Source organism: Homo sapiens, chromosome 7, assembly GCF_000001405.40.
Source record: "Homo sapiens chromosome 7, GRCh38.p14 Primary Assembly".
NCBI classification, from domain to species: Eukaryota; Metazoa; Chordata; class Mammalia; order Primates; family Hominidae; genus Homo; species Homo sapiens.
In genome coordinates, this window is record NC_000007.14 from 43,197,140 (window position 1) to 43,221,791 (window position 24,652).

At 43.1% G+C, this 24,652-nt stretch overlaps 1 protein-coding gene and 1 pseudogene across 15 annotated transcripts in view, besides 4 other annotated features; one reads left to right on the top strand and one right to left on the bottom strand.

Annotated features, from left to right (window-relative positions):
• HECW1 (HECT, C2 and WW domain containing E3 ubiquitin protein ligase 1) overlaps window positions 1–24,652 on the top strand; it is a 453,355-nt gene that overhangs the window by 84,493 nt on the left and 344,210 nt on the right. For 3 of the 15 annotated variants that reach the window (XM_011515220.3, XM_047420065.1, XM_011515223.3), the window contains exon 1: window positions 17,718–17,862. The exons of 11 other annotated variants lie outside the window; for them this stretch is intronic. The gene's annotated coding sequence lies outside the window, so the exon portion shown is untranslated. Of the gene's footprint in view, window positions 1–17,717; window positions 17,863–24,652 lie in introns of those variants that run through there. One more of the 15 variants, XM_047420066.1, reaches the window with a different exon arrangement.
• Window positions 45–557: an enhancer, noted in NCBI's record as "H3K27ac-H3K4me1 hESC enhancer chr7:43236783-43237295 (GRCh37/hg19 assembly coordinates)". NCBI's record gives its function as "activates a minimal SCP1, AML or CMV promoter by ChIP-STARR-seq in primed H9 embryonic stem cells {active_cell/tissue: H9 hESC(primed)}" and the evidence as "EXISTENCE:reporter gene assay evidence [ECO:0000049][PMID:30033119]".
• Window positions 558–1,069: an enhancer, noted in NCBI's record as "H3K27ac-H3K4me1 hESC enhancer chr7:43237296-43237807 (GRCh37/hg19 assembly coordinates)". NCBI's record gives its function as "activates a minimal SCP1, AML or CMV promoter by ChIP-STARR-seq in primed H9 embryonic stem cells {active_cell/tissue: H9 hESC(primed)}" and the evidence as "EXISTENCE:reporter gene assay evidence [ECO:0000049][PMID:30033119]".
• RNU6-575P (RNA, U6 small nuclear 575, pseudogene) lies at window positions 10,623–10,727 on the bottom strand (annotated as a pseudogene).
• Window positions 17,162–17,679: an enhancer, noted in NCBI's record as "H3K27ac-H3K4me1 hESC enhancer chr7:43253900-43254417 (GRCh37/hg19 assembly coordinates)". NCBI's record gives its function as "activates a minimal SCP1, AML or CMV promoter by ChIP-STARR-seq in primed H9 embryonic stem cells {active_cell/tissue: H9 hESC(primed)}" and the evidence as "EXISTENCE:reporter gene assay evidence [ECO:0000049][PMID:30033119]".
• Window positions 17,680–18,196: an enhancer, noted in NCBI's record as "H3K27ac-H3K4me1 hESC enhancer chr7:43254418-43254934 (GRCh37/hg19 assembly coordinates)". NCBI's record gives its function as "activates a minimal SCP1, AML or CMV promoter by ChIP-STARR-seq in primed H9 embryonic stem cells {active_cell/tissue: H9 hESC(primed)}" and the evidence as "EXISTENCE:reporter gene assay evidence [ECO:0000049][PMID:30033119]".

Sequence of the window (24,652 nt, forward strand, 5' to 3'; positions counted from 1 at the left end):
CCAAAAGAGAATTTATAGAAAAAAATAGTTTTTGTTCTGTGTACACTCAAGAAAATTAGGAAAGATGAGGAAAAAAAAAGGAAAATCTCTTCTTTTGGGGGTATGGGTGGGGGTCACAGTCTTACCATGGTAGGAACTCACTCATTAAGTGGAAGAGGGAGCGGAATACCCCATCCCACCCCCACACACTCACACAGAGAAACAGCTTTTCCAGATAATGACTTTATGCAAATCAGAGAAAGGCTCCGCTGCCCTAGACCACCTTCCTGCTGCCTGTGGAGAGGCATTGATTAGCCCCCTGCAAAGCGATGCGTCCTGGGTGGACAGATGCCCAGGAGCGTGCACAGTGGCCCAAGGAGAGGGTGGGACCCACCTCTTGGCACAGAGCGATCACTGCCTCTGCTAAATAACCTTCTACAGCTCCCCCAGCCCTGAGCGATTTCTCCAAACTGAGCCCCTAAATCTGTATCAGTCACTGCTGCATGAAGAACAGGTGTGGCTCATGGTAAGACAAGGATCAGCAGGACTCTGCCCACTGGGAGAGGAGCGGTGAGGTGAGGGGGATGTCAGTTTGCTGGGCAGGTGGGGGACTCTGACGAACACAGACCGCTTCCAGGACTGGCAACATAACCGTGGCCCCAGTGACAAAGGAAAATGCGGGACAGCTTGTGCAAAAATTATTAAGGATTTCAAGATGGCGACAGCAGAGCATTAAACCCAGCACAGGGTTCCCAGTGAAGGCGTTGGTTCACAGGCCCCTGGAGCTGGCACTGGGCCCCTGATTCCCTGTCAGCTGTGGCTGCCCCGTTCAGTCTGAGCAATGACAACCCACATCTTTCCTGCCATTGCCCCTAGGTCATCTCGACCCTCAACGCACACACTCCAACAACCTACACATACACACACCATAGTCACACACCCCACACACACACTCTCTTACACACCACACACTCACATTCACACACTCACCCTACACATACCCACTATAGTCACACACCCCACACTCTCTCACACTCATACTCACGCACACCCCACATTCACACACACAGCACACACATTCACACGCTCACCCTATACACACCCACCATAGTCGCACATCCCACAGTCTCTCACACACCCACTCACACACACCCCACACTCACACACCACACACATTCGCACACTCACCCTACACTGTCACTTACACACACATCCTACATACACTCATCATAGTCACACACCCCACGCTCTCACACACACGTCTTACACACACTCATCAGTCACACACCCATACTCTCTTACACTCATACTCACATTCACACACTCACCCACCCTAACACGTACCCACCATAGTCACACCCCACACTCTCTCCTACACTCAAACACCATAGTCACACACCACAGACACCACACTCACACTCCACACTCTCACACACCCTTCACTTACACACATTCACATACCACACACACCATACACACCCCACAGTCATACACACTCATTCACACACCATAGTCACACACCCCACACTCTATCTCACACACACCCCCACACTCACACACACACCACACACACCATACATACACCCCCCACAATACAGATTTGCACACTCTCACACCCCACACTCTCACACACTATAGATTTGCACACTCTCTCACACACACTCCACACTCACGTGCACACACACATCCTCGCACACCCGCAGTCCTCCTGAGATCCCTTTGGGCTGGCCATGTTCTTCTCCCAGGAGAACTGGTGAAGTAGGAAGCACCCTCTCCAGCGTTCTCATCATCAAGAGCTAGCTGGCTATTGTTCCTCTGAAGGCTCTCACAGCATGCTTCCTACCTTGTATTTGTTCAATAACGCTAAGCTAAACCATTTGCCTTCCCAGTTCCAAAGCCTGGTATGACCACAAATCCGATATAAGAGAGTCCAAATATCCTGCCTCCACACGGAGAACCCTCCAGACCCTCATTGCACACTCTCTCTCTCCACGGTTTTCTCCAGGCAAGCTGAGAGCTCCCGCTCAGGGAACAGCCTCTGTGCTTCCCTTCTGCACGCCTGGTCTCTTATGATTACAGTTTGCCTGCCTGTCTTTAGCTCTCCGTTCAACTCACGAGTTTTGCACTTTTAATGTTGACATTTTAAAAGTGTGTTTTATAAGTCTAATCAGTAGCAAAGTATATTATCTGTATTTACTTCAGTATTGACATTTTACAATAAAGTTATCTGTTCAAGAATATATATCCTATGGAATCTGAATATTATAGACTTTGAGAGTTTCCATGATCAATTTATAAAATACATGTAAAGCTTTTCATTAACAGTTGAATATTTACATTATTCTTTTCCCCCTGGAACTTACATTTCTATTTCACCAACCCCGCTGCATTTTATCCTAATATAGTATAACCCTCTGGCAGGAAGTCTTACTCATCACTATGTCATATGTCCTGTCAACAAAAATAAGTACATAGTGGGAATTAGATTTTTTTAATTCTTTGTAAGCATCGAGTTTTTATATATGAGAAATATCTAGATTAATATATTTTACAGTTGTGATTCATACACAATTGATTACACATGTTATATATTTTTAGTAGAAAAAAATATAGAATTTTATCCAAAATGTATCTCTTACTGAGTAGGAAGGGGCTTTTATTTCTCTCGTGTTCCAGTACCCACGAATGAGTGCTATTTCCTGTTAAAATGAGACAGTTTTGGCATAAATTCTATATATACACGTTTGGTTTGTTGTTGTGGTTGTTTTTTAATTTCACTGTTGTAAGTACTGAGGGCAATTTTAAGATTTAATTCTGTTTGTATTTAGGGGCATGGTTATAGTAATAATCTGTGAATAAGTACATAGGAATGGAAGAAGTCACTAAGCGTCGCTCAATTTTTATAAATCCTTTTAGGGCTCATGCCAAAAATCACAGAAAATTACTTTTAAGGTCCTATTATCTGACAATTTGATTAGGTTCTCCTCTATTTTTTAAAAGTACTAGAAACCAGTTAACTTTCAAACGGATTTGATTGGCCCAAATTAGAGTCATTGTCTCAGTTTCTGGAACATCTACCAAAAAAAGGCTTTCCTGAATGGCATTAGTTATACTTATTTTATTAGAGGTACCTTCTATAATTGATTAATACTGTTAGAAAAAGTAAGATTGAAATATTGTCCGTTAGTACACCTTTGTAATATGATGCAGTATTTTTAAATCTTCTTTTAAAATGCTTTCGTCAAAAACTTAAGAATGGAAAATTTTGGCTCATGCATGTCACTCAATTAGTCAAATGATCACCTTTTAACAAAATCTGCAAAGCCAGTCCTCTTCAGCAAACCCGGCAGCCAAGTCAGATTTCTTCTCTGTTGGGTAACCCTACCTTCCAATCTTTTAGATTCAAACCCTTTGTGTTGATGTGTGTGCTGAGACAGCCATCCCACTTCTGAGGTTGCCTTCTAAGATAAATACACAGGTGAGACACAGAGCTTTGCCATGTTCTCTTGTCTGACGAAATAAAGCTCTTCTGCTGCCAATGTTTTGTCCCGGGCTCATTGCTCTGCTCTTATGGCCAGCTCTTGCAGGAGCAATTTGGCTTCAGCTGGGTAATAGAAGAAACAGGGTCTTCAAAACTTATTACCACTTCTGCCTCCCTGTTGGATAGTAAGTCTTATTATCAAACATAGCAATGTGGCCCAACATGCTCACCTCTGACTCTGTTTCCATGCTTTACCCTAAACAAAAATAGCTACAAAGCCAGCAAGATGGGAAACCTTACCAAAGCGGCTCGATGGAAGGAAGCTTCACAAGGACATGATCTCATTAACCCTTTCTTCATTTTCCAGAAGGTTTTTATTTCCAGAGTCGATGTAAGATTCACAGTGGGGAAGAAATACACCTCTGTTATTTTGAAACGTGGGAGAAGGATATTTGTGATAGGGGAGGTGTGTGTGTGTTATTCAGCTTGAAGACCGTGGACAAAAAGTAACAGACTTGCTCTAGGCTGGACTCAAATCCATCACACACTGGTCCTTGGTGTTCCTTTTCATCAAAATGTCCCTTGACTGGCCTGCCCAAGTCCCTCCTGCTCTCTGGGCGTGGTGAATTAGAGGACACTCCAATGGAAGAGGCAGTCCCAATCACAGAGCTCCAGAGAAGGGGGTTTGGAAGCTGGAAATGCAGATTTCTGAGTCTTTCTTCTAGAGCTGAGGCTGCGGAAGTCCATGAGACTGTAGAGGCAGGATGTACAGAGAATTACCTCTGTGCATGTTCATGGGGAAGCATGCTGTGTTAACACAAAAAGGAGGAAGGATGCCCAGAAGTCAAATTGAGAATCCACGCTCAATGGGATGCTAGGGGGCTTTTCTGTAAACCTATAATATTTTTAGGGTAATTATGATAAGAAAAACAGTAACGGAACAGCCAGTGTTCATTCATCTTTACATTCCCCGTGGTAGATTTGTGACTTAAGGTACCCAAGTGGTAAAGCTGACATTTTCTTCACAATTCCACTTTCCAAGTCTTTTTCCTGCATGAAGTCACCAAAGAAAATCAGCAATTCTCCTAGACTCTAGACTAGGGAATCTTGGTCAGAGAATTTGTCTGCAATGACTTACGTCCAGAGAATGGTCTTGTGTGGAGAGAAATACCTATGCTGAATTCTTACAACTAAACGAAAAAAATATATGCTTGAAGATTTCATTAACATTAGGACATAAAAGCAAAAAGAAAAATGCCTAAATGTCCAAGTATAGATAAAGGACTGACTAAAATAATGGTTCATGTGAGAGAAGTATGACTTACGACTCTGGGGTAGAATCAAAGTCCATTTTATCTGTGAGAGCTTCAGAGAAATTCATAATAAGGAGACTTCTGTGTAAAGAGGTTCCTTGATGATAATAAAAATAATACTTAGCCAACACTGAACTACTCATGATGCTCCAGATACTTATGATGCTCCACTTACTCATTTAACCCTCAGAGTAACCCTATGAAATACAAGTAGATGTGAAAGCCAAGGGCTACAGAGGTTGAGTAACTTGCTGAAGGATACCTAGCTAGTCAGTGGCAGAGCCAGAATTTGAACACAGAGTCTTGTACTAGAGTCTGCACAATGCACACTGTCCTCTCCCAACAGTTTTCTCATTTGTTTTGGTCAAGATCTGTACTCCGTAGGATCTCTCTCTCATCAAAAAATTGTGTGTGCATATTTTTGGGCACTAAAAACATGACATCAATAATGACAATAGTTGCAGAACCAAAAAGAAAAGTATCTTTCCTTTTCCATATTCTTTTTTACATTCATATGCATACATAATTATTATAAGATTATAATCATAAAATTTTTCTCCTTGCCTTTTTTTTTTTTTTGAAACAGAATCTCACTCTATCCCCCAGGCTGGAGTGCAGTGGTGCAATCTCGGCTCACTGAAACCACTGCCTCCCGGGTTCAAGCGATTATCGTGCCTCAGCCTCCTGAGGAGCTGGGGTTACAGGCACCTGCCACCACGCCCAGCTAATTTTTGTGTTTTTAGTAGAGATGGGGTTTCACCATGTTGGCCAGGCTGGTCTGAACTCCTGACTTCAGTGTCAGGCCTCTGAGCCCAAGCTAAGCCATCATATCCCCTGTGACCTGCATGTATACATCCAGATGGCCTGAAGCAAGTGAAGAATCACGAAAGAAGTGAAAATGGCTGATTCCTGCCTTGACTGATGACATTACCTTGTGAAATTCCTTCTCCTGGCTCAGAAGCTCCCCAACGGAGCACCTTGTGACCCCCACCCCTGCTAGCCAGAGGACAACCCCCTTTGACTGTAATTTTCCACTACCTACCCAAATCCTATAAAACAGCCCCACCCCTATCTCCCTTCGCTGATTCTCTTTTTGGACTCAGCCCGCCTGCCCCCAGGTGAAATGAACAGCTTTGTTGCCCACACAAAGCCTGTTTGGTGGTCTCTTCACACGGACGCGCGTGACACTCAGGCGATCTGCCTGCCTCGACTTCCCAAAGTGCCGGGATTACAAGGGTGAGCCACCATGCCCAGCCCTCTCCTTGCCTTTTATACTTATTATATTTCAAATAGTTTTATTTTGCTATATTATCTTTATCATCATCAGTTGTGATAGCTGCAACATGCTACAGGAAGTTGATGTTCCCTAACTTATTGAGATAGTCCTCTCTTAGTTTCCTTTTTTGTGTAATATTGCAAATAATATGGCAGCGAACATCCCATATATTATTTCTTTTCCTTCTTCGATTATTTTTTAAAGATAATTCCTGGAGTGAGATTACTGAACAAAGGATAAGGATATTTTTTGTTTCTTGTAAGAATAAAGCCACATTACTTTTTGTTTTTTTCTTGCTTGTTGCCCAGGCTGGAGGGCAGTGGCACAATCTTGCTTATTGCATCTTCTGCCTCCCCAGTTCAAGTGATTCTCCTGCCTCAGCCTCCTGAATAGCTGGGATTACAGATTATAGGCACCTGCCACCATACCCGGCTAATTTTTGTATTTTTAGTAGAGACAGGGTTTCGCCATATTGGCCAGGGTGGTCTTGAACTCCTGACCTCAAATGATCCACCCACCTCAGCCTCCCAAAATGCTGGTCACTGGTGGTAGCCACCGCTCCCAGCCAAGCCACATCACTTTTTAATGGGTAATTGTGTATTGTCATCAGTAACATATCAAAAGGATTATTGTATTTTAATGTTACAATCCTTTTGCAGTTGTATACCCCACTTTCTTAAATTGTATGTATTTAATAGCTGACAATTCTTGCTATTATGTAATATCTTGTATTCACTATGTTTAGATGTATATTGCTGAAAAAAGCACAAATTGAATTATAAATGGACTCTTTTTGTCTTACCTAAAGAATTTATTTTGAACTTGTAATAACAAATGAATTGTTGCTTAGCAAGAATGCTGATTGTGACTAGTTCAAGACATCAATAATTCTTGAGGTTCTTGGCAGATTATGGTTAGAACTCTTATACCTTGGCACCATAATAAATAAATATTTTTGCCTTCTTCAACAGTAGATGTCAAAGCAGCTAATTTTGTTGCTCCATCATTGTGTTAGTTCATTCTTATCCTGAGGAAATTTCAAAAGAAAGCTTGAAACTGAAGACCATTTTGCATGACTCATGTAAAGTTTGTTGAATAAACAAAATAAACCCATGGCAGTGAAATCACTCCATGATTAGTTGGCAGTAGATTTTGTTCAAGAAACCCTAAGTCATTTTCTTGGTGCATTCGTTTGTCCAGCACTGTATTTTTTGCAAGATGGCAGTTAAAGGATGCAACTCACTATCAGAGTGCAAATCAAGTGAAAAAAAATCTTATGTTCATTTATTCATTATGTAAATATCTACTGAACACCTTGACTCTGGTGGTGGCCAATTATACAAGACAGGCATGGCCATGCCCTCATGGAACTTTTGGCCCAGCTTGGAATTGTCAAAGAAACACAAAGCTGAACACTAGTTAAGGAGACAAGACGGATTCTAGTCAGTACTACTGCAGTAAGGAAGAGACCTCAGTGAAACCTCAGCTCAGCTCCCCTGAGACAAAGGTGGTATGTGCTAAAGGAAAGGGACTAAAGGAAGGTAAGGGGGTGGTCTCTGGGTTTAGGCCATCTGAGTTTGTTAATTGACACTTACCTGGAGGAGAAACAAAAGTCTCCTATCTTTAGGACAGGACATAGTTTTGCCAACTGGATTAAGGCCCCGCAAAGTTTGGATCTTACCATCCCACAGGAACTGGGAGACAAGAGAGCTATCTCACTGAATGTTTGCATTTCAAAGAGATGGCTCCCACATACTTGATGGGACATTTCTGGGTGGTAGAAGGTTTCTATCTCAAACGGGCACAGAAAGAATATATAATTGCAAGCTTTCTAAAGTAAATGCCCTAAGAAAGTGAGCTCAGAGGCCTATCATCAGATGTTGTCTGAAACAAACAGTAATTTTTTTTTTTTGGAAATGGAGTCTCGCACTATTGCCCGGGCTGGAGTGCAGTGGTGCGATCTTGGCTCACTGCAACCTTCACCTCTTGGGTTCAAGAGATTCTCTTGCCTCAGCCTCCCAAGTAGCTGGAATTACAGGCACCCACCACCATGCCCAGCTAACTGTTTGTATTTTTAGTAGAGGTGGTGTTTCACTATGTTGGCCAGGCTGGTCTCAAACTCCTGACGTCATGATCGGCCCGCCTTGGCCTCCCAAACAAACAATAAATTCTTTCGGCAGCATTGAGTTTTCTCAGGCAGGCATTTTAAGGGGGCTGGAATTGTCATCCTAGGAACACAGCCTGGAACTGATGGGAACTATGCTAGTGTTTATTCAAGACTTTTCCTGTAGTGGGGTGGATGAAATCACTTGTGCTGCAAGTCGTAGTTCTTCTAGGCCAAGGTCAAGGCCTGCTTGAGAACTCTGAATAGAGTCTGGTCAAGGAGAGTCTTTGTCCCAACATTGGCAGTTAAAACAAGGCTCATTGTGTCTGCAGTAAGAATGTCGCGCAGGTTGTACACTCCACAGCATGCCTGGCCATGTGCAGTGGTCTCGTGACCACAGCTGCTTCAGCTGTTCAAAAAATTTCTAATAGGTTCTCCTCAGTTTCATCATGGTCAGTGGACAAGGTCCCTTCTGTCCTACCCCTACCCAAGATCTTCAGGTCCCTTACTCTCATTTCAGGGCAAGATGATGGGAGAGTTATAAGTGCCCAGGGCTGTTGGATGATTTGTGGTCCACAGTGCAGGCGGCTGGGGGCCCCCTACACTGAGCACAGCTGGGCCCCATCTTCCTTCCAGCCTGTCCTTTAGCCCTCCAAGGAGAAGGTCTTTGTTACCCCTCCCCATCCAGGACACCCTCTCTCCCCTGCCACTTCCTCCCCTGGACACTGAAATTCTCCATAAGTATACATTGTCTGGCGCTATAGGCTGTGGCTCTTTCTTTCTCCTCTTTACATTGGACTAGGGGAGAAAACCCATCTTTTGGAACCGGAGAGCAAATTAATGTACAGAGGAAACACATGAACTAATACTTTTAGATGAGCTCCTACCATGTGCACTCACAAGGGAGCATTTTAAGGGTTCTGATGGTGGAGTTCTGGGAGCCCTGGGAACAGACACCAGGAACGCGGCAGCTGATCTGCCACGGAGTCAAGAGGATCTTCCGGGAGGCTCTGTCATTTCTGTAAATCAAGGGGTTAGGAAGACAGGGGAGAGGAGAGGGAAATGGAATGCGAAGGTAAGGGTTGGCCAAAAAGGTCTACCGTGCTTTTTTCTGGTCTTTTATTTTTTGTCTCTTCTGCTCTCTATTGGATCAAACATATTTTGTTTTATAGCTTTCTTTCCTCCCCTCAGTCCCCCACTAGCTTGGAAGTAATGTGTTCTACTTCAATTCTTTAGTGGTTAACTTTCATTTTTTAAGAGGCGTAATTAACTTTATGAACACTGAAGCTCATTAATCTCTGTATTGTACTCTAACACCACAAAAGCCTTACAATGCCCAGCTTCCCTCCCCCACCTCCCATACTGGGTGCTGGGTGCTGCTTTTATTTCCTTCTTTTTGTAAACTTCCAAGTCTGGTCATTTATCATTATTTTTACACTCGGTTCATATTTAAGTGAATCAAAATGTTTGCCAGTTTCATCTCTTCAGATGGTTTCTTAAATCCAGTTCACTTCTAGATTCAGTATTCTTTGTGCTGAAATAATCTTTAAGCTATTTAGAATGAAAAACTCTCTCGGTCTTTGTTATAGCTGAGTTAACCTTTATTATTGATTGACAGACTTGCTAAATATATAATTCTAGGATAGCCGTTGTATTTTCACTTGGCATTTTGAATATATTATTGCATTATCTTCCGAAGTCCTTTGCTGCTTTGTAAGAAGGTGCTTTTGCCTAATTGCCATTACCTTTTAAATTTTTATTTTTTTATTTTTGAGGCAGAGTCTTGCTCTGTCGCCCAGGCTGGAGTCCAGTGGTGCGATCTCAGCTCACTGCAACCTCCGTCTCCTGGGTTCAAGCAATTATCCTGCCTCAGCCTACAGACTAGCTGGGATTACAGGTGCATGCCACCATGCCTGGCTAATTTTTGTATTTTTAGTAAAGACGGGGTTTCACCATGTTGGCCAGGCTGGTCTCGAATTCTTGACCTCAAGTGCTCTGCCCACCTCAGCCACCAAAGTGCTGGGATTACAGATGTGAGCCACCGCACGCCGCCTAAAATTCTATTTTTAAATTGACAAATAATATTGTACATTCGTGGTGTACAAAGTGATGGATAGTGATGCAATCAAGGTAATTAGCATATTTGCCATCTCAAACATTCATCATTTCTTTGTCTTGGAAATATTCAATACCCTCCTTCTATTTAATAGCTATTTGAAACTATATAATATATTACTGTTAATTGTAGTCATCTTACCATGCTATAGAACCTAGAACTGATCCCTCTTGTCTAGCTGAAATTTTATGTCTTTCAACATACCTCTCCCTATCCTTCCCTCCCCGTTCCCTTGTCAGCTTCTAGTATCCTCTGCTCTACTTTTAACCTCTATGAGATCAACATTTTTAGTTTCCAGGTATGAATGAGAACATATGGTGCCTAACTTTCTATTCCTGGCTTATTGTACTTTAAAAAACATGGAATGCTTCACAGTTTGGCTTGTCATCTCGTGCAGGAGCCATGCTTATCTTCTCTTACTGTTCCAATTCTGGCAGGTGTGTTGCAGAAATGAACACTGCCATTACTTTTGAGATAATCTTTCTTCTCTTGGTAATTAAAGTAGTTGTCTTTTTATGGTCTGCAGATTTGTTAAGCTGTACCTTTGTGTAGATTTATTTAATTCATTCTGATTAGGAGTTGTGATGTTACCTCAATTAGAAATTCCATTTTTCTTTATATCTGGAAACTTCACCATCATCCCTTCAAACATCGCTCCTCTCCCATTTTCTTTTTCTGTTTCTGGAGCTCCTGTTAACAGATAATGGACATTTTCATTTCTCTTCCCTATTATTGAAACCCTCATATTTTCCAGATCTTTACCTCTTCATGTGACATCTGAGTGATTTTCTCAAATCTTTTTTCCAATAGACTAATTCTCTGAAGTCTGCTCTTTCAACCTTCTATTGATTTCTCTATTTCAATGGCTAGACATTTCATTGTAGAATTCCTTTGCTTCTTTTGCAAATCAACTTGGTCTTTTCCCACAGGGTCCTGTTACTGTCTTATGACTCCCACATCTTCCTTTACCTCGAAACAATGAAAGGTGACATTCTTATTTTAAGTGTTCTCTTCAGCTGTTTTATTATCCTGAGTTATTGGGGTTAAAGTCTCCCGGTCTTTCACCTGCTGCCTCTCCTGGTAGTTTTCTATCACTGAGAGTCCCCAGGGTCTGGGCCTGGCAGTATCTCCAGGGGAGAGCTCACATTCATCTCTTCTGGGCCTTGTAGGATTCAGCAGTTTAGGGTAATTTTTTGTGTCAGCTTTCAGCTGGGGAAGCAAATGTGTGTCTTTTTACTACCCACACAGTGTGAGTTCTGGCTTCATTCTCATTGGTGGTTTAGGTCTAGGACATGCTCCTCTTAGGCAATTCTGATCCCTCTTAACCTCTTTGGAGCCACCGTTTCCCAGGGCTGGTGGTCAGTGCTGTTTCTTTCCACCGAAGCAACAAGCCAGCCCTCCAAGGTGTCTGGCTTCCAGCATGGAACCGGAGGTCTGGATTCATCTCCCTGCAAGAGCATCAGAAGCCACACACTCTTGGAGGCTGAGGCCCGGATCTGGCTCTGAAATACCTGTGCCTGCCTCTGGCTTCCATTTTAGCCAAGTCACCCTGGCTTTTAGAAGATTTTGCTTCATTCCTGGCACCTCTTTTGATATTGAACTTGGCTATATGCACAAAACATTACCTCTTATTTAGCATTTTTATGTATTTGAGGCAGGTAGGGCAGGGTTAGGAGTGGGAGGCGGGCAGCCTTTCATGCCAGCTCAGCTTGCCCTGTGGTGTGAGGCCCCAAATTGTTTTATGAAGCCAGCGTTAACAGTGGCATCAGACCCACTAGCCCCTCACAATCTTGCCCATGATCGCCATCGTGGTAAATGGTTTCCAGGCAAGACCACATACGGCACGCTGGCCCCCTGAAGACCCATGCTCCCCTGTCCCCTGTTGCTCCTGCTGATCAGAGCCAGAGCTGATGATGCCTCGCAGGCAAGTGTCCTCAGCCAGGGCCTGCGGGTGTGTGACACTCTGCAGGCACCAGGCATCACTCTGCTTCCTGAGCCTCTCACTCTGGATCCGGTTCTCTGCCTTTTTCAGGCCAATGACTATTATTTTATTTCTCAGGGGTATCTCGCGGCTCCTGTCTCCTCTGTAAAGCACTGTCAAATTTACAAGAGAGCTTCTCTCTCTCTCCTGTCTCAAAGAGATTAGAATTTGCAAGAAAGAGCCTCCTTGCCCATTTTTTTCCTCTGTGAAAAAAGTTTCAGTTGGAGAGTGATTTTGCAGCCAGGCTACAACTGGGTAAGATTTGATGGAGACGTACAGATGCGAAGCCTGGAGTATCAATGTCTTTCCACAAGTGCTGGGAAGGAGAAAAGAAAATTGGTTATTTGAGTGAGAAGAATGTGGAGAAGAGTGGACATATCTGAATGCTGGCAGGAAGGAGCTGAAGCAAAATGAGAGGCGGGCATTCCAGAAGAGTGAAGGGAGCATTAATAGAGCAAATCACAAGATGGGCCGGGCATTGGCGTTCACCCCGAGGTCATCTGCCGTGCCCAGTCCCACAGCATCTCTACTTAAGGTGAGGTACTCAATATGTCAGAGTGGAACTTTAACCAAAGGAACACAGCCACCACTCTGAACTTTGGGCTCTTCTCCAAAGCGAAGGTGGGACAGAGTTGAGAGAAACTTAAAATCTACTGCTCTTGATGGTTTTAAGTCAACAGCCGGGGACTGGCAGTTTCCTGGCCTGAGCGGACCCAGCCGTATGTGGGGTGTGAGTGCAGGGCCTTCCTTCCCACAGAAGGATCCCTGCAGCTTGTCCCACTGCCTGGATGGGGAGACCTTGCTGACCAAGGACTCTCTTAACTGGAGGGGTTTCATAGAAGTTGATGTGTCTGTTGTCACTGCCCAAAACGAACTTATTGTGGAGATAGGTCATTGAAAAGGTGCATTGTGATGAGGTGAGAATAGGAAAACTTGCAGAGTATGAGGCCCTGGGTGGCTCTGGTAGAACATCATTAAGAGGGGCTCAGGTCATCCTGAGACAGGATTTTTGCATGCCTGGGCCACTGATAGAAGACTCAAGAAGGATCAAGTAGAAGTGAGTGTGTGTGTGTGTGTGTGTGTGTGTGGTATTGTTACAGGGCGTCCTTGCTCCCAGAGCTCCCAAGATGGTGTTGGGCCACTTCCAAGATGGCTGCAAGCCTCGTGTTCGCTAACCTGGGGTTCTTGGCCTCATGGATTCCAAGGAATGGAATCTGGGGCCATGCAGTGAGTGTTATAGCTCTATTAGAAGCCTTGGGTCACGGAAGAGAACCATGGAACCCAGTGACTAGTGTTCAGCTCAATTAGGACAAACCCGGGCACTTAGCCAAGCAGGAACAATGGCAAGCCTTTAGCCCAATCCAGAGCAGCAATGGGCGCCTCACTGGATCAGGAGCACAGCAGACACCCTGCCAGATCCAGAGGGGTGGAAGTCAGTAGTGGGTCTGCAATGGCGGTAAATATCAATGGTGGACGGCGAGCGAAAGCTCAGGTCCAGCCGTGACAAACACGGACCAGAAGAGTGTGCACTTGCAAGATTTAATAGAGTGAAAACAGAGCTCCCATACAAAAGGAGGGGACCCAAAGAGGGTAGCCGATGCCGGCTGGAATGCCTGGGTTTGTATCCCGGTCATTGTATTGTCCCTCCTGCAGTGCTCTCAGGCGATAGATGATTGGCTATTTCTTTACCTCCTATTTTTGCCTAATTAGCATTTTAGTGAGCTCTCTCATTAGTCGGGTGTGAGCTAAGTTGCAAGCCCTGTGTTTAGAGGTGGATGCGGTCACCTTCCCAGCTAGGTTTAGGGATTCTTAGTCGGTTTAGGAAATCCAGCTAGTCCTGTCTCTCAGTATGGAGGCAGGTAGGCTAAATATCAGGATGAAAAATCCAACCTTTACCATTTTATGTAAATAAAACTGCTTTTGGCTTATTCAGGCAGTTCCCATTGTTTAAGTTCCATCTGACACATCACCTTTCTCCTCCGTGAATGAATGAAACGGTTCTGTAAGTATCCAAGTGTGAATGCTCCATGCGGGCACCCTGTGGACGCTAGGGATGCAGGGAGAGTTAGGATTGATCATCTCTGTCCTCAGGGAACTCACAGTCTCATGGGACAGTGTCCTCCCACCAGAGGGCATGATTCCCAGGGGTGAAAGACTTTCCAAGGGGGACTCAAGCATGGAGATTCTATGGAATCCTGTCCTCAAAACCTCAACTTCTATCTATTCTTTTCTAAAATTGACCTGCTAGAATAAACCTGTGTTCATAATAACCCTTCACAAAAGGGGGGCGTTCCCCCTTGCCTCCCTCAAATTTTGCCTGTGCATTACCCACAGAGCATAAAACTTTGAGGATATTGAACAAAGGGAAAACCTTTCTCAAAATAATAAATCAAGACATCATAAACCCTTTGAGCTTCCCTTCTGTTTCTGCCTTGTACACCTCAGTTAAGAATAAAGGGTGGTGTTAGAAGGGGATGCTTTGTCCTGCATGTTTGTGATGTTTGGAATTCTTCAGATGTATGGTATGTGGAGTAATGACAAGTTTCATTTTAATGACTTTACCTCTCCCTGTCTACTATGCAAGGAGTTCTTAAGGGAGACTTACAGGAGAACAAGGCAAAGAGAGCACTGTAAGAAAGACTGAATATTGGAAACAACCCCTACCCATATTTCAATGTAAGCATTTCTTTACACCTGTCCTCAGCACTCATCCCTCAGCTAAGAGAGCAGTCTCTTCAAAGAGATTTTTGCTATTGATTCTTGTAAACACAGTTGTGATGTTTCCTGAACTATCAACATTTTCAAGGCTATTAAATGAAATGCATGAATAAAACTTTTACCCAATCTCTCTCAGATTAGGGTTGTGTTATTAATTAAGGTAGTCAAAATCTGGTTTATCAAATCAGATCATACACTCTTTATTTACAGTCATTTGCCATCTTATAAAACATTCAATAATTTTTTCCTGCTATTATTACTAAACAAAATTATATACTAGCTGCTAGACTGATAATTTTTAGCAAAATATTCTTTTCACTTTTTAAAATATATAAATTATGTTATAATTATGTTTAACAAGACTATTGGAGTTATTTCTGGTATTTATACATGAGACTCATTTAACTGTTCCTCAAAACCAAATCATATGCACACAATTACAGAAGGGAGGCCAAGGCTATTACGCTGCACTCTTCTTAAGTAACTGGTAATTTTAGCTGCAAATTACATTGCACTATAGCAAATTAAGTAATGAGAATGATTTATTATCTTGTTTATAGAACTTACTTTAAAATGGATAAATATATTAGATCTTCATTATTTTAATCTTACTGGAATGTCTAAGTACTCTAACTTACAAATTGCATCTTTTACTTTATTTCCAGTCATATTTCTAATATTCTTTAAAATGTACATTAACACATTTATCTGGATTTTAAAATGAAGTCAGACATTTTTCTGAAAAAGATCTTATTTGGCTAGTTGGTTTGACAAAGAGGACTGGCTTTGCCATTTATATTATATGGTAGATATTTTCCACAAATAGAACAACTAAATCTGTAGCTCTAAGATTATGACAGAAGTATATTTAAAGCATGAGCTAAGATTAAATCATATTATTACAATATTATATCAGTAAAAGCGTAATGAAATTAGTAATATGTCAATTTTCTTGCCTTTTCATGAGTTAATCTATGTATTTCTCGGTGAAAGAATAGCAGGTGTAATTCTCCATCACCTGATAAGGCATGATAAGTCTTTTTTATATACTTCCCAGAAAGTGCATGACTCTGGGACTGGGTAACAAATCTTGCCCCAAGTGAGGTGTTTTCAAGTTTTTTACGTTCATCAAACTGAAGCAGGACTGACTTGATTGAGTTATTGACTTGTAAATCATTAAAGATGATTTCATGATAAGAGACTTTATCATAAATGACATGTGCTTATTTTGTTTGGATCATCTGTATACTACTGATGATAACTCTAACAATACTAATTGATTACTCAACCTGGAAGAAATGGTTTAACACTTAGAGCTGGTGATCATAAGAATTTTTTTTTTTTTTTTTTTTTTTTGAGACGGAGTCTCGCTCTGTCGCCCAGGCTGGAGTGTAGTGGCGTGATCTCGGCTCACTGCAAGCTCCACCTTCCGGGTTCACACCATTCTCCTGCCTCAGCCTCCTGAGTAGCTGGGACTACAGGCGCCCGCCACCATGCCCAGCTAATTTTTTGTATTTTTAGTAGAGGTGGGGTTTCACCGTGTTAGCCAGGATGGTCTCGATCTCCTGACCTCGTGATCCACCCGCCTCAGCCTCCAAAAGTGCTGGGATTACAGGCGTGAGCCACTGCGCCCAGCCAATAATTTTTTTAAAAATTAAATTTAAATCTTTATACATATTTTTATCACAGAAAAGAATGATATAATTAATAAAAGACTTTACATCATAAATAGCTATAGCATTAGGAAGAAATTTTGTTGGGGACTTAGAATGGGAATATGATTGCAATGAGAAAAACAAAAGGTATAAAGTTTCTATGTGATCAAATCAGTATGTATTTTTTCAGGAAATTAAACATTTCATCAGGATTTTGGAATTTATTATATAAGACCTTTAGAGACCTTTATTTTAATTCTTTAAAAGCTGTTTTCCCTACTGGTGGTGATTGTAATCTTCTATATTACTGGTATTGTTTACTTGCTTTTTCCCTCTAGTTTTTCTTTTCTAATTGAAATACACATATGTATTTCTATAGTTTTTCTAGTTTTTCATATATATTTCTCTCTAATTTTTATAGTTATTTTTCATTTTTTCAAATACATTTTTTTGTTTTTATACATGGATGTACATACATGTAAAATTAGAGAAAATAAAGCAAATAAACAATATTAGAAATGTGAAAGGAGATTGTAACTGTCCTTGATAGGGAAAACAGCTTTTAAAGAATAAAAGAATGCCATCTAAAGAACTAGAGTAATATAAATATCATAATAAATAACTTAGGAAATAATACATTCAAATATATATTCAAATAACTTTTCTGAGTAATAGGTACAAAAAACTAGACAAACTAGAGTTTCATGTGTGTGTCTGTGTATATGCATCTATATATCCTTATCAAAAAATAGCTGTTTAATTTAGATGGCAACGCTACTTTCCCCTGCCCCTGTTTTGTTTGGTTTTTATTGTTCTGTGGTGGTGGTGGTGGTGATCGTTACTATGTCAGTCAGGATCCAATCAGGAAATTATGGCAAACTCAAGGTGCCTAATTTAAGGAGCATTTCATAAAAGGACTGTTGACCAAGGCATGGGCAGAGCACAGGAGACGGCAGGGTGGCTGGGCAGGCATGAGCAGATGCAGGTGGGCACGGGCACTAGCCCAGAAGGAGGAGGAACCCCCAGAGAGGGGCCAGCTCACAGCCCACAGTGAGGGAACCATGTGGGGGCATGTTCTGACCTTGCACTTCTCCCTCCCTCCAGTCTTCTGTGTGTTCCACATTGGCTGAACCCAGCTGGGAGGCAGCGGGTGAGGGGGCCCATGAATGCCTCCTCCCAGTCAGCGTCCCAGGACCCTGGCCAGGAAGAGCAAAGTGGGACAGAAGAGGCAGGTGCAAGGTAGCCTACCCCTTTTGGGTATTTATTCACTTACTCTTCCTGCTCTCCTTGGGTTTGCTTTGTTCTTTTTATCCTGATTTTAAAAAATGTAAGGATTGAATTTTCAGGTTCTTGATTTACATTCTTCTTGTTTACTAACAATAGCAGCTAAACTATACAATATTTAATTACCAGTGACTGTATAGGCACCGCCTAGTCAGAATGCACACTGCCCTTGGGACTCCTGGAGAGCCCTTGCTGTGCCCGCATTAACCCTTTAGCTGCTGCACCTTGCAAGGGTCGGTTGTCCCCAGAGAGGCTGAAAGCAGTGCTGTTTTCCAATCCTCACAGAAGCGTTGCCCTGTCCTAACATGGTTCAGCATGGCTGACCCAGCCAGTGCTGGCTAGACGGCAATCCTACGTAATGCTATGGATTCCACTGTTGCACATAATTTTATTTGTATTCCTTTTGTGGCATTCTCATTGTCTTTCATTTCTGAGCAGTATGTAATTGCAATTTAAAATTCCTTTTTAACCAAAGGTTAAATCGTTAACAAATGGTTAAGGTATTTTTAAACTTCAAAGTTGTATTATTAATACAATATCTATCCTAGTTGCTTTGCAGTCAGAAAATGTTATCACCACTCTTTATGCATTTCATAATTTATCAAGGTTTTCTTTGAGGCCCTTGTATAATCAATTTTTGGTAAATGGTCCATGGATATTAGAAAACAGTCTATTCTTTGATTGTAAAGATCTTGAAAGACATCTACTTAACTGATATTATTTAAATCAGAGTCCCTGTATACTGTTATATTTTATTAAATTGATGTGTCAAATGCTGAAGGAGTTAGGTCAACATCCTCTGCCATGTCTGTGCCTCTCTCTGTAGCTTTGTTCTGGTCACTGCTGTGTCTCCAAGGACGTATAGGGCCAGTGTTCAGAGACCAGGCAGAGGAGTGGGGCAGACAGAGACCACTGTAGTTTCTTCAAACTGTCTGACCCCATGACGGAGAGATGTTGTACAGTTTATGGAAGTAGTCTCTGGCCCTGAGTCAGGTAGAAGACAGAATTCCTATTCTGTCTGTCATTTTATATGGTCTTTGTTTTATAAGATGAAAGCTGAGTCTGGTGAGATGAAGCAGGTTTTTGTTTGTTTGTTTGTTTTTGTTTTTGTTTTTTTGAGACAGAGTCTTGCTCTGTCACCCAGGCTGGAGTGCAGTGGTGCAACCTGGGCTCACTGCAACCTTCGCCTTCTGGGTTCAAGTGATTCTTCAGCCTCAGCCTCCTGAGTAGCTGGGACTACAGGTGTGCACCACCATGCCCAGCTAAGTTTTGTATTTTTAGGAGAGACGAGCTTTCACCATATTGGCCAGGCTGATCTCAAACTCCTGACCTCATGATCCGCCCACCTCAGCTTCCCAAAGTGCTGGGATTACAGGTGTGTGCCACCGCATGCCAGCCGAAGCAGGTTTTTAATGCCTTAAAGGTTTCTGCTGTGGCAGAAGGCAGTCCATCCACCTTAGCCATCAGCACCACTGAGTTTTTCTCTTTCCTGGATCATGGTAAGCTGAAGATGTTGCCTGGTACTGCTCCCCAGATGCCGTGTTAGCCCCAGGGACAAAAGTCTCCACTAGCCCACATCCTGCTTCCCTTTAGCAGTGTGGCAAATGCAGTGTAATTTTTTTTTTTTTCTGAGAGTCTTGCTCTTTCCCCCAGGCTGGAGTACAGTGACGTGAACTCAGCTCACTGCAACCTCTGCCTTCCAGGTTCAAGTGATTCTCCTGCTTCAGCCTCCCAAGTAGTTGGGATTACAGGCACCCACCACCATGCTCGGCTAATTTTTGTATTTTTAGTAAAGACGGGGTTTCACCATGTTGCCCAGGCTGGCCTCGAACCCCTGGCCTCAAGTGATCCTCCCATCTCAGCCTCCTAAAGTGCTGGGATTACAGGCGTGAGCCACCACTCCCAGCTGCAGTGTAATCTTAAAGCATCCTTGCACCAGAGGGACCAGCTGTCAAGGGTTCTGTGGCTCACAGTCTGATCATAGTGGCAGCATTAGAGTGCTTTCGGACACCATTTTAATAGCTCCTTCTCTGATCACACTCTCCTGTTTGTGTCCCATCCCTAGGCTAGGCACACATTTTAATGACAGCAACTTATTACCGAGTACATGAAAAAAGCGAGCCCTTTATCTAATAAAATTTTTTAATACTGGAATAAATTTAAACACTCACTTACCTTTCTCATCTCTTCATATTTTGCTGCATAGGCACTTTATGCTTGAGTTCTGACCCTGAACCCACTACTGTAAATTAAAATTGAGTCTCAGTTAGCTATGTATAAAATACACTTTGGGTTCCAGCTAAATGAAGTCCCTTTCTGGGAATACAGATAAGAAATAAGAAACATGTTTCTCTCTACTTCAAGTGCATGAGTTCTGGTAACTAGGGTAGGTGTTGGATTATAGTTGAATGTCTATATCAAATTAATGAGAGATACTGTTGCTGCTTTTCATTTGTAGATGAATTGGGGTACCCTCGAAAGCAGGGAATGTCTCACTCCCTCCAGAATCACTGATTGCAAGGAAGTGAAACCTACCTGAGCTAATTTCAAATGACCGTAAAAGGGGGAAGAGGACAGAAGGATCAGTGTAATAAGATTATACAACAGACAGCTTTACTTGCAAAATGATGAGGGGCTTAGGCATCACTCCTCTTCTCTTTCTGAACTGTATCCTATTTCTTGGCCATGTCCTTACACAGCTCTTGGCGTATGGTTTGGAGGACTTCAAAGACTTAACACCCACCACTCATGTCTTTTAGAATTATCAGGAAAGGAACTATTTTTGGTCACTGAGCATCTAATTAATTAGCTCCTTTTGGTGCCATGTCCATCTCTGGCCCAAGAGCAGTGTTATCTAGCACAAGCCTGGCCACCAGCACCCGATCCTTCTGGGGCTGGAGAGTGCAGGATTTCCTCGAAGAAAAGCCTCCCAGGGAGGCCTGTGGGGTCCACTAGAGGGAATGGGGGCACAGCACCAGCTAGGTATTAGGAAGAGTTTTAGATTCCCCTTTGGAGGAGAGCTGTGTAAATGGCCCAACAAAGTCTGTGTCAAAAAGGATTTTGAAGCTTTAGAAACAGGATTTTGCAGGTGAAAACTGATAGTTCATCTTGTATTTTTAACTTAAAAAATCAATACCACAATGCTGGGCCATTCAGTGTAAGATATATTTAGATCACGGATTGAATTGTTATTCCTGAGCAGCAATATGATCCAAGGGGAGGTGAGAGGAGGCAGGAGGCCTCACTGCTTTCTCCTGCAGCAGCACTGGGTCACCTTGAGAACCTGCTCATCTGAACCTCTTAGAGCTCAGGGTATTTTTTTCCAAACAAGAGGACAAGACGTATCATGGATCTGAACACAGCAGTGGTTTAGGATATCACATCTTGGATGCACATCTTTATCTTAGAAGCAATTGGGTCCTGATAACACATTTTGGTGGAGAAGGGAAGGAAGCAAGGAATGGGGTATGGCAGGGCAGAGGGAATGAACCTGGCCACAGTGTGCCTGTGACCAGCAGTATAGATCACAGTGTCTTGGAAGGCACAGCAAAGCTGGCTTTGGGCAACATTTATACCTAGGGTGTTTTACTCATGGGCTGATAAAGCCACCCTCATCTTCTGGATTGATAGTTCTTGATGAACAAAGCCCAAGGGAAAAGAGCATGTCATGGTTTAAGAGGTTCATTAATTTGGAGCAAGTCCCCAGCCAGGATTGGAAGGTGTATAGAGAAAGTGATACAACGAGTGGAGGAACATGAGGGCTCTTGTCTCACGTGATTTAGATAAAATGACACGGACACACGTGGAGTGGTTTTAAGGAGCAGAGGGTTTAATAGACAAGAAAGAAGAAGAAAGAAGGAAGAAGCTCCCCTGTACAGAGACAGAGAGAGCAGTGCCGGGGAGCCAAGAGAGGGAACTCACCTGTGGGGAACACCAGCCAGGTATATAAACAGGCTGGAGGAGGTGGTGTTTGATTTGCATAGGGCTCAGGGGATTGGTTTGACCAGCCATGTCATTCATGTAGCCTGCGAAAAAAACTAGCCTTCCCACTCTAGCCTTTTAGTATGCAAATACAGGGCGCCATGATGTTCTACACATGTGGGGATATGTGGGAGTGGCCATGTTGCCAGGCACATGTAGGGGCAAGGGCAAGAGGACAACAGTGGGAATCGCCATGTTGGGTGGACCCAGTTTCTAATGGCCTGCATTTGCATATCAAAGGTTGCCAGCTAGGCTCTAAGACCCAGGGCTTTCCTACTGGACAAGAAATGTTTCTGGAGCCGCTTCAAAAACGAAAACTTTCCAAGGACCCCTTTTCCTCTCTGTCTGCCTAAAATAATTTCTTAATAATTTCTACTGTAACAGGACAAGCAGCAGACAAAACCCCTCCGATACCGAGCTAAAGAAGGAAGGGCTTTATTCAGCTGGGAGCTTCGGCAAGACTCCTGTCTCCAACAACCGAGCTCTCCAAGTGAGCAATTCCTGTCCCTTTAAAGGGCTTACAACTCTAAGGGGGTGTGTGTGAGAGGGTCATGATCGATTGAGCAAGCAGTGGGTATGTGACTGGGGGCTGCATGCACCAATAATTAGAATAGAACAGAACAGAACAGAACAGAACAGGACAGGGATTTTCACAGTGCTTTTCTATACAATGTCTGTAATCTATAGATAACATAATTGATTAAGTCAGGGGTCGATCTTTAATTACCAGCCCAGGGTGTGGTACAGGGCTGTCTGCTTGTGGATTTCATTTCTGCCTTTTAGTTTTTACTTCTTCTTTCTTTGGAGGCAGAAATTGGGCATAAGACAATATGAGGGGTGGTATCCTCCCTTACTACCACAAAAGGTTCTTTTGTGGGCAGGAAATGGACACAGTCTCAGTCAGCTGGGCCAGCCCTCCAGTGTGGTGCTGCTGGGGAAACTGAGGAAGGCTCCTGCAGTGAGTTCTGACACCAACTACCTGGTGCTGGGCCAGACTTCGCAAGTCAACACGGTCCCCCACACACTGCCACAAGGCCATGGGCCCCAGGCCACCTACACTTCTACTAGCTGGCTACAAATTTAGGAGTTCCCAGTACCCCTTAGGTTTTCTAATTTACTAGAATAACTTTCAGAACACAGGAAAGTGGTATACTTATTATTACAGTTTTATTATAGCAAAAGGAGACAAATCAGAACCTGCCAAAAGAAGAGCTGCATAGGGTGAGGTCTGGGAGCACCTAGAATGCAACGCTTCCTGTGTCCTCTCCCTGCGGGGTCAGGATGCATTACCCTCCCAGCACAGAGTATTGCCAGTAGAGACACTCGCCTGAGTCTTCACGTCCAGAGTTGTTATTGGAGTTTCATATGAAGGCACAGTTGACTGAATCATTGGCCATGTGGCTGACCTCAATCACTAGCTCCTCTCCAGAGATCAGGCTGATGTCACGTGACTCAGAGACACAACACTCTAATCACAGCCCTCATCCTAAGTCATCTCTTAGTCATAAGCTAACTAGCAGCCCACCAGCTCTAGCATAAACTATTAGAGCCTGCCGTGAATAACAAAGGCACTACTATCATCCAAGAAATTCTAAGGATTTAGAGGCTACCTCCCAGGAATTGGAAACAAAGTCCAGCCAAACTCTAGGACACAGGAATCCTAATCATTTTTGGCTGAGCAGGTACATTAAAGAAAATGTTGACGTGTTGGTGCCTGGGCCTGGCAACCAGATAGTAGGTTTAGGAAAGCCACCAATCCCTTCCACCCCCATGGCCTGCCCTGGAACAAAGGAGAGAAGGGAGACCAGTTTCTTGTGAGCTTTCCATTATGGTGCCCCTTGGCTTTAAAAATGGGCAGGGCTGGGCCAGAAATTCACAGGCCTCCCTGTGCAGACCATGTGTGGCTGGTGTCACAGAAGGAAGCCATTAGAAATGCATATTCATGATCATGACTCCTACTGCTGGAGAGGGACCATTTGGGCTCAGCATTTAGTGCCTACCTCTGCAAGACACTGTGGGCTTGATGAATGTTTTAAAGAATCTTTCTTCTAGTGACCTGGAAGCACCTTGAGTACTATTTGGTAAGGGGACAGTACATATTACTTTTGTTACTTGGATCCCTTATCAGTTAGTAGGGTTAATTACCTGGGCTTTAGGGCTAAGAGAGTTTAGGTAGGCAGCTGTGAGTCAACAGTTGCCAGGGGTCCCATTTCACATACACTAGAAGAATGTGATGGTACCTGGCACCACATCTAGAGGATTAGGGAGATCCTGTGGTTTCTGACACTGTGTTTCCAGGGTCATTTTATATTTTGATCTCTTTAGGCCAAGGATGAAATATGTACCAATCAATCAGAGAAGATAATTGAAATGAAGCCTATTTACCTTTCCTAACCCTAGTCAGAACCACAAATTTTTAAATCTCCTTATCTCTTAAAGCCTGTAATGCTAAGCCTTGTGCACTAAGTGCTCAGTAAGTATTTGCTAAACTAAATGTCAGAGGAATTAGGTTTTTTTTTTTTTTTTTTTTTTTTTTTTTTTTTTTTTTTTTTGGGACAGCCTGTTGCCCAGGCTGGAGTGCAGTGGCGCTATCTCGGCTTACTGCAAGCTCCGCCTCCTGGATTCATGTCATTCTCCTGCCTCAGCCTCCCGAGTAGCTGGGACTACAGGTGCCCACCACCACGCCCGGCTAATTTTTTGTATTTTTAGTAGAGACAGGGTTTCACCGTATTAGCCAGGATGGTGTCGATCTCGCAATCTGCCT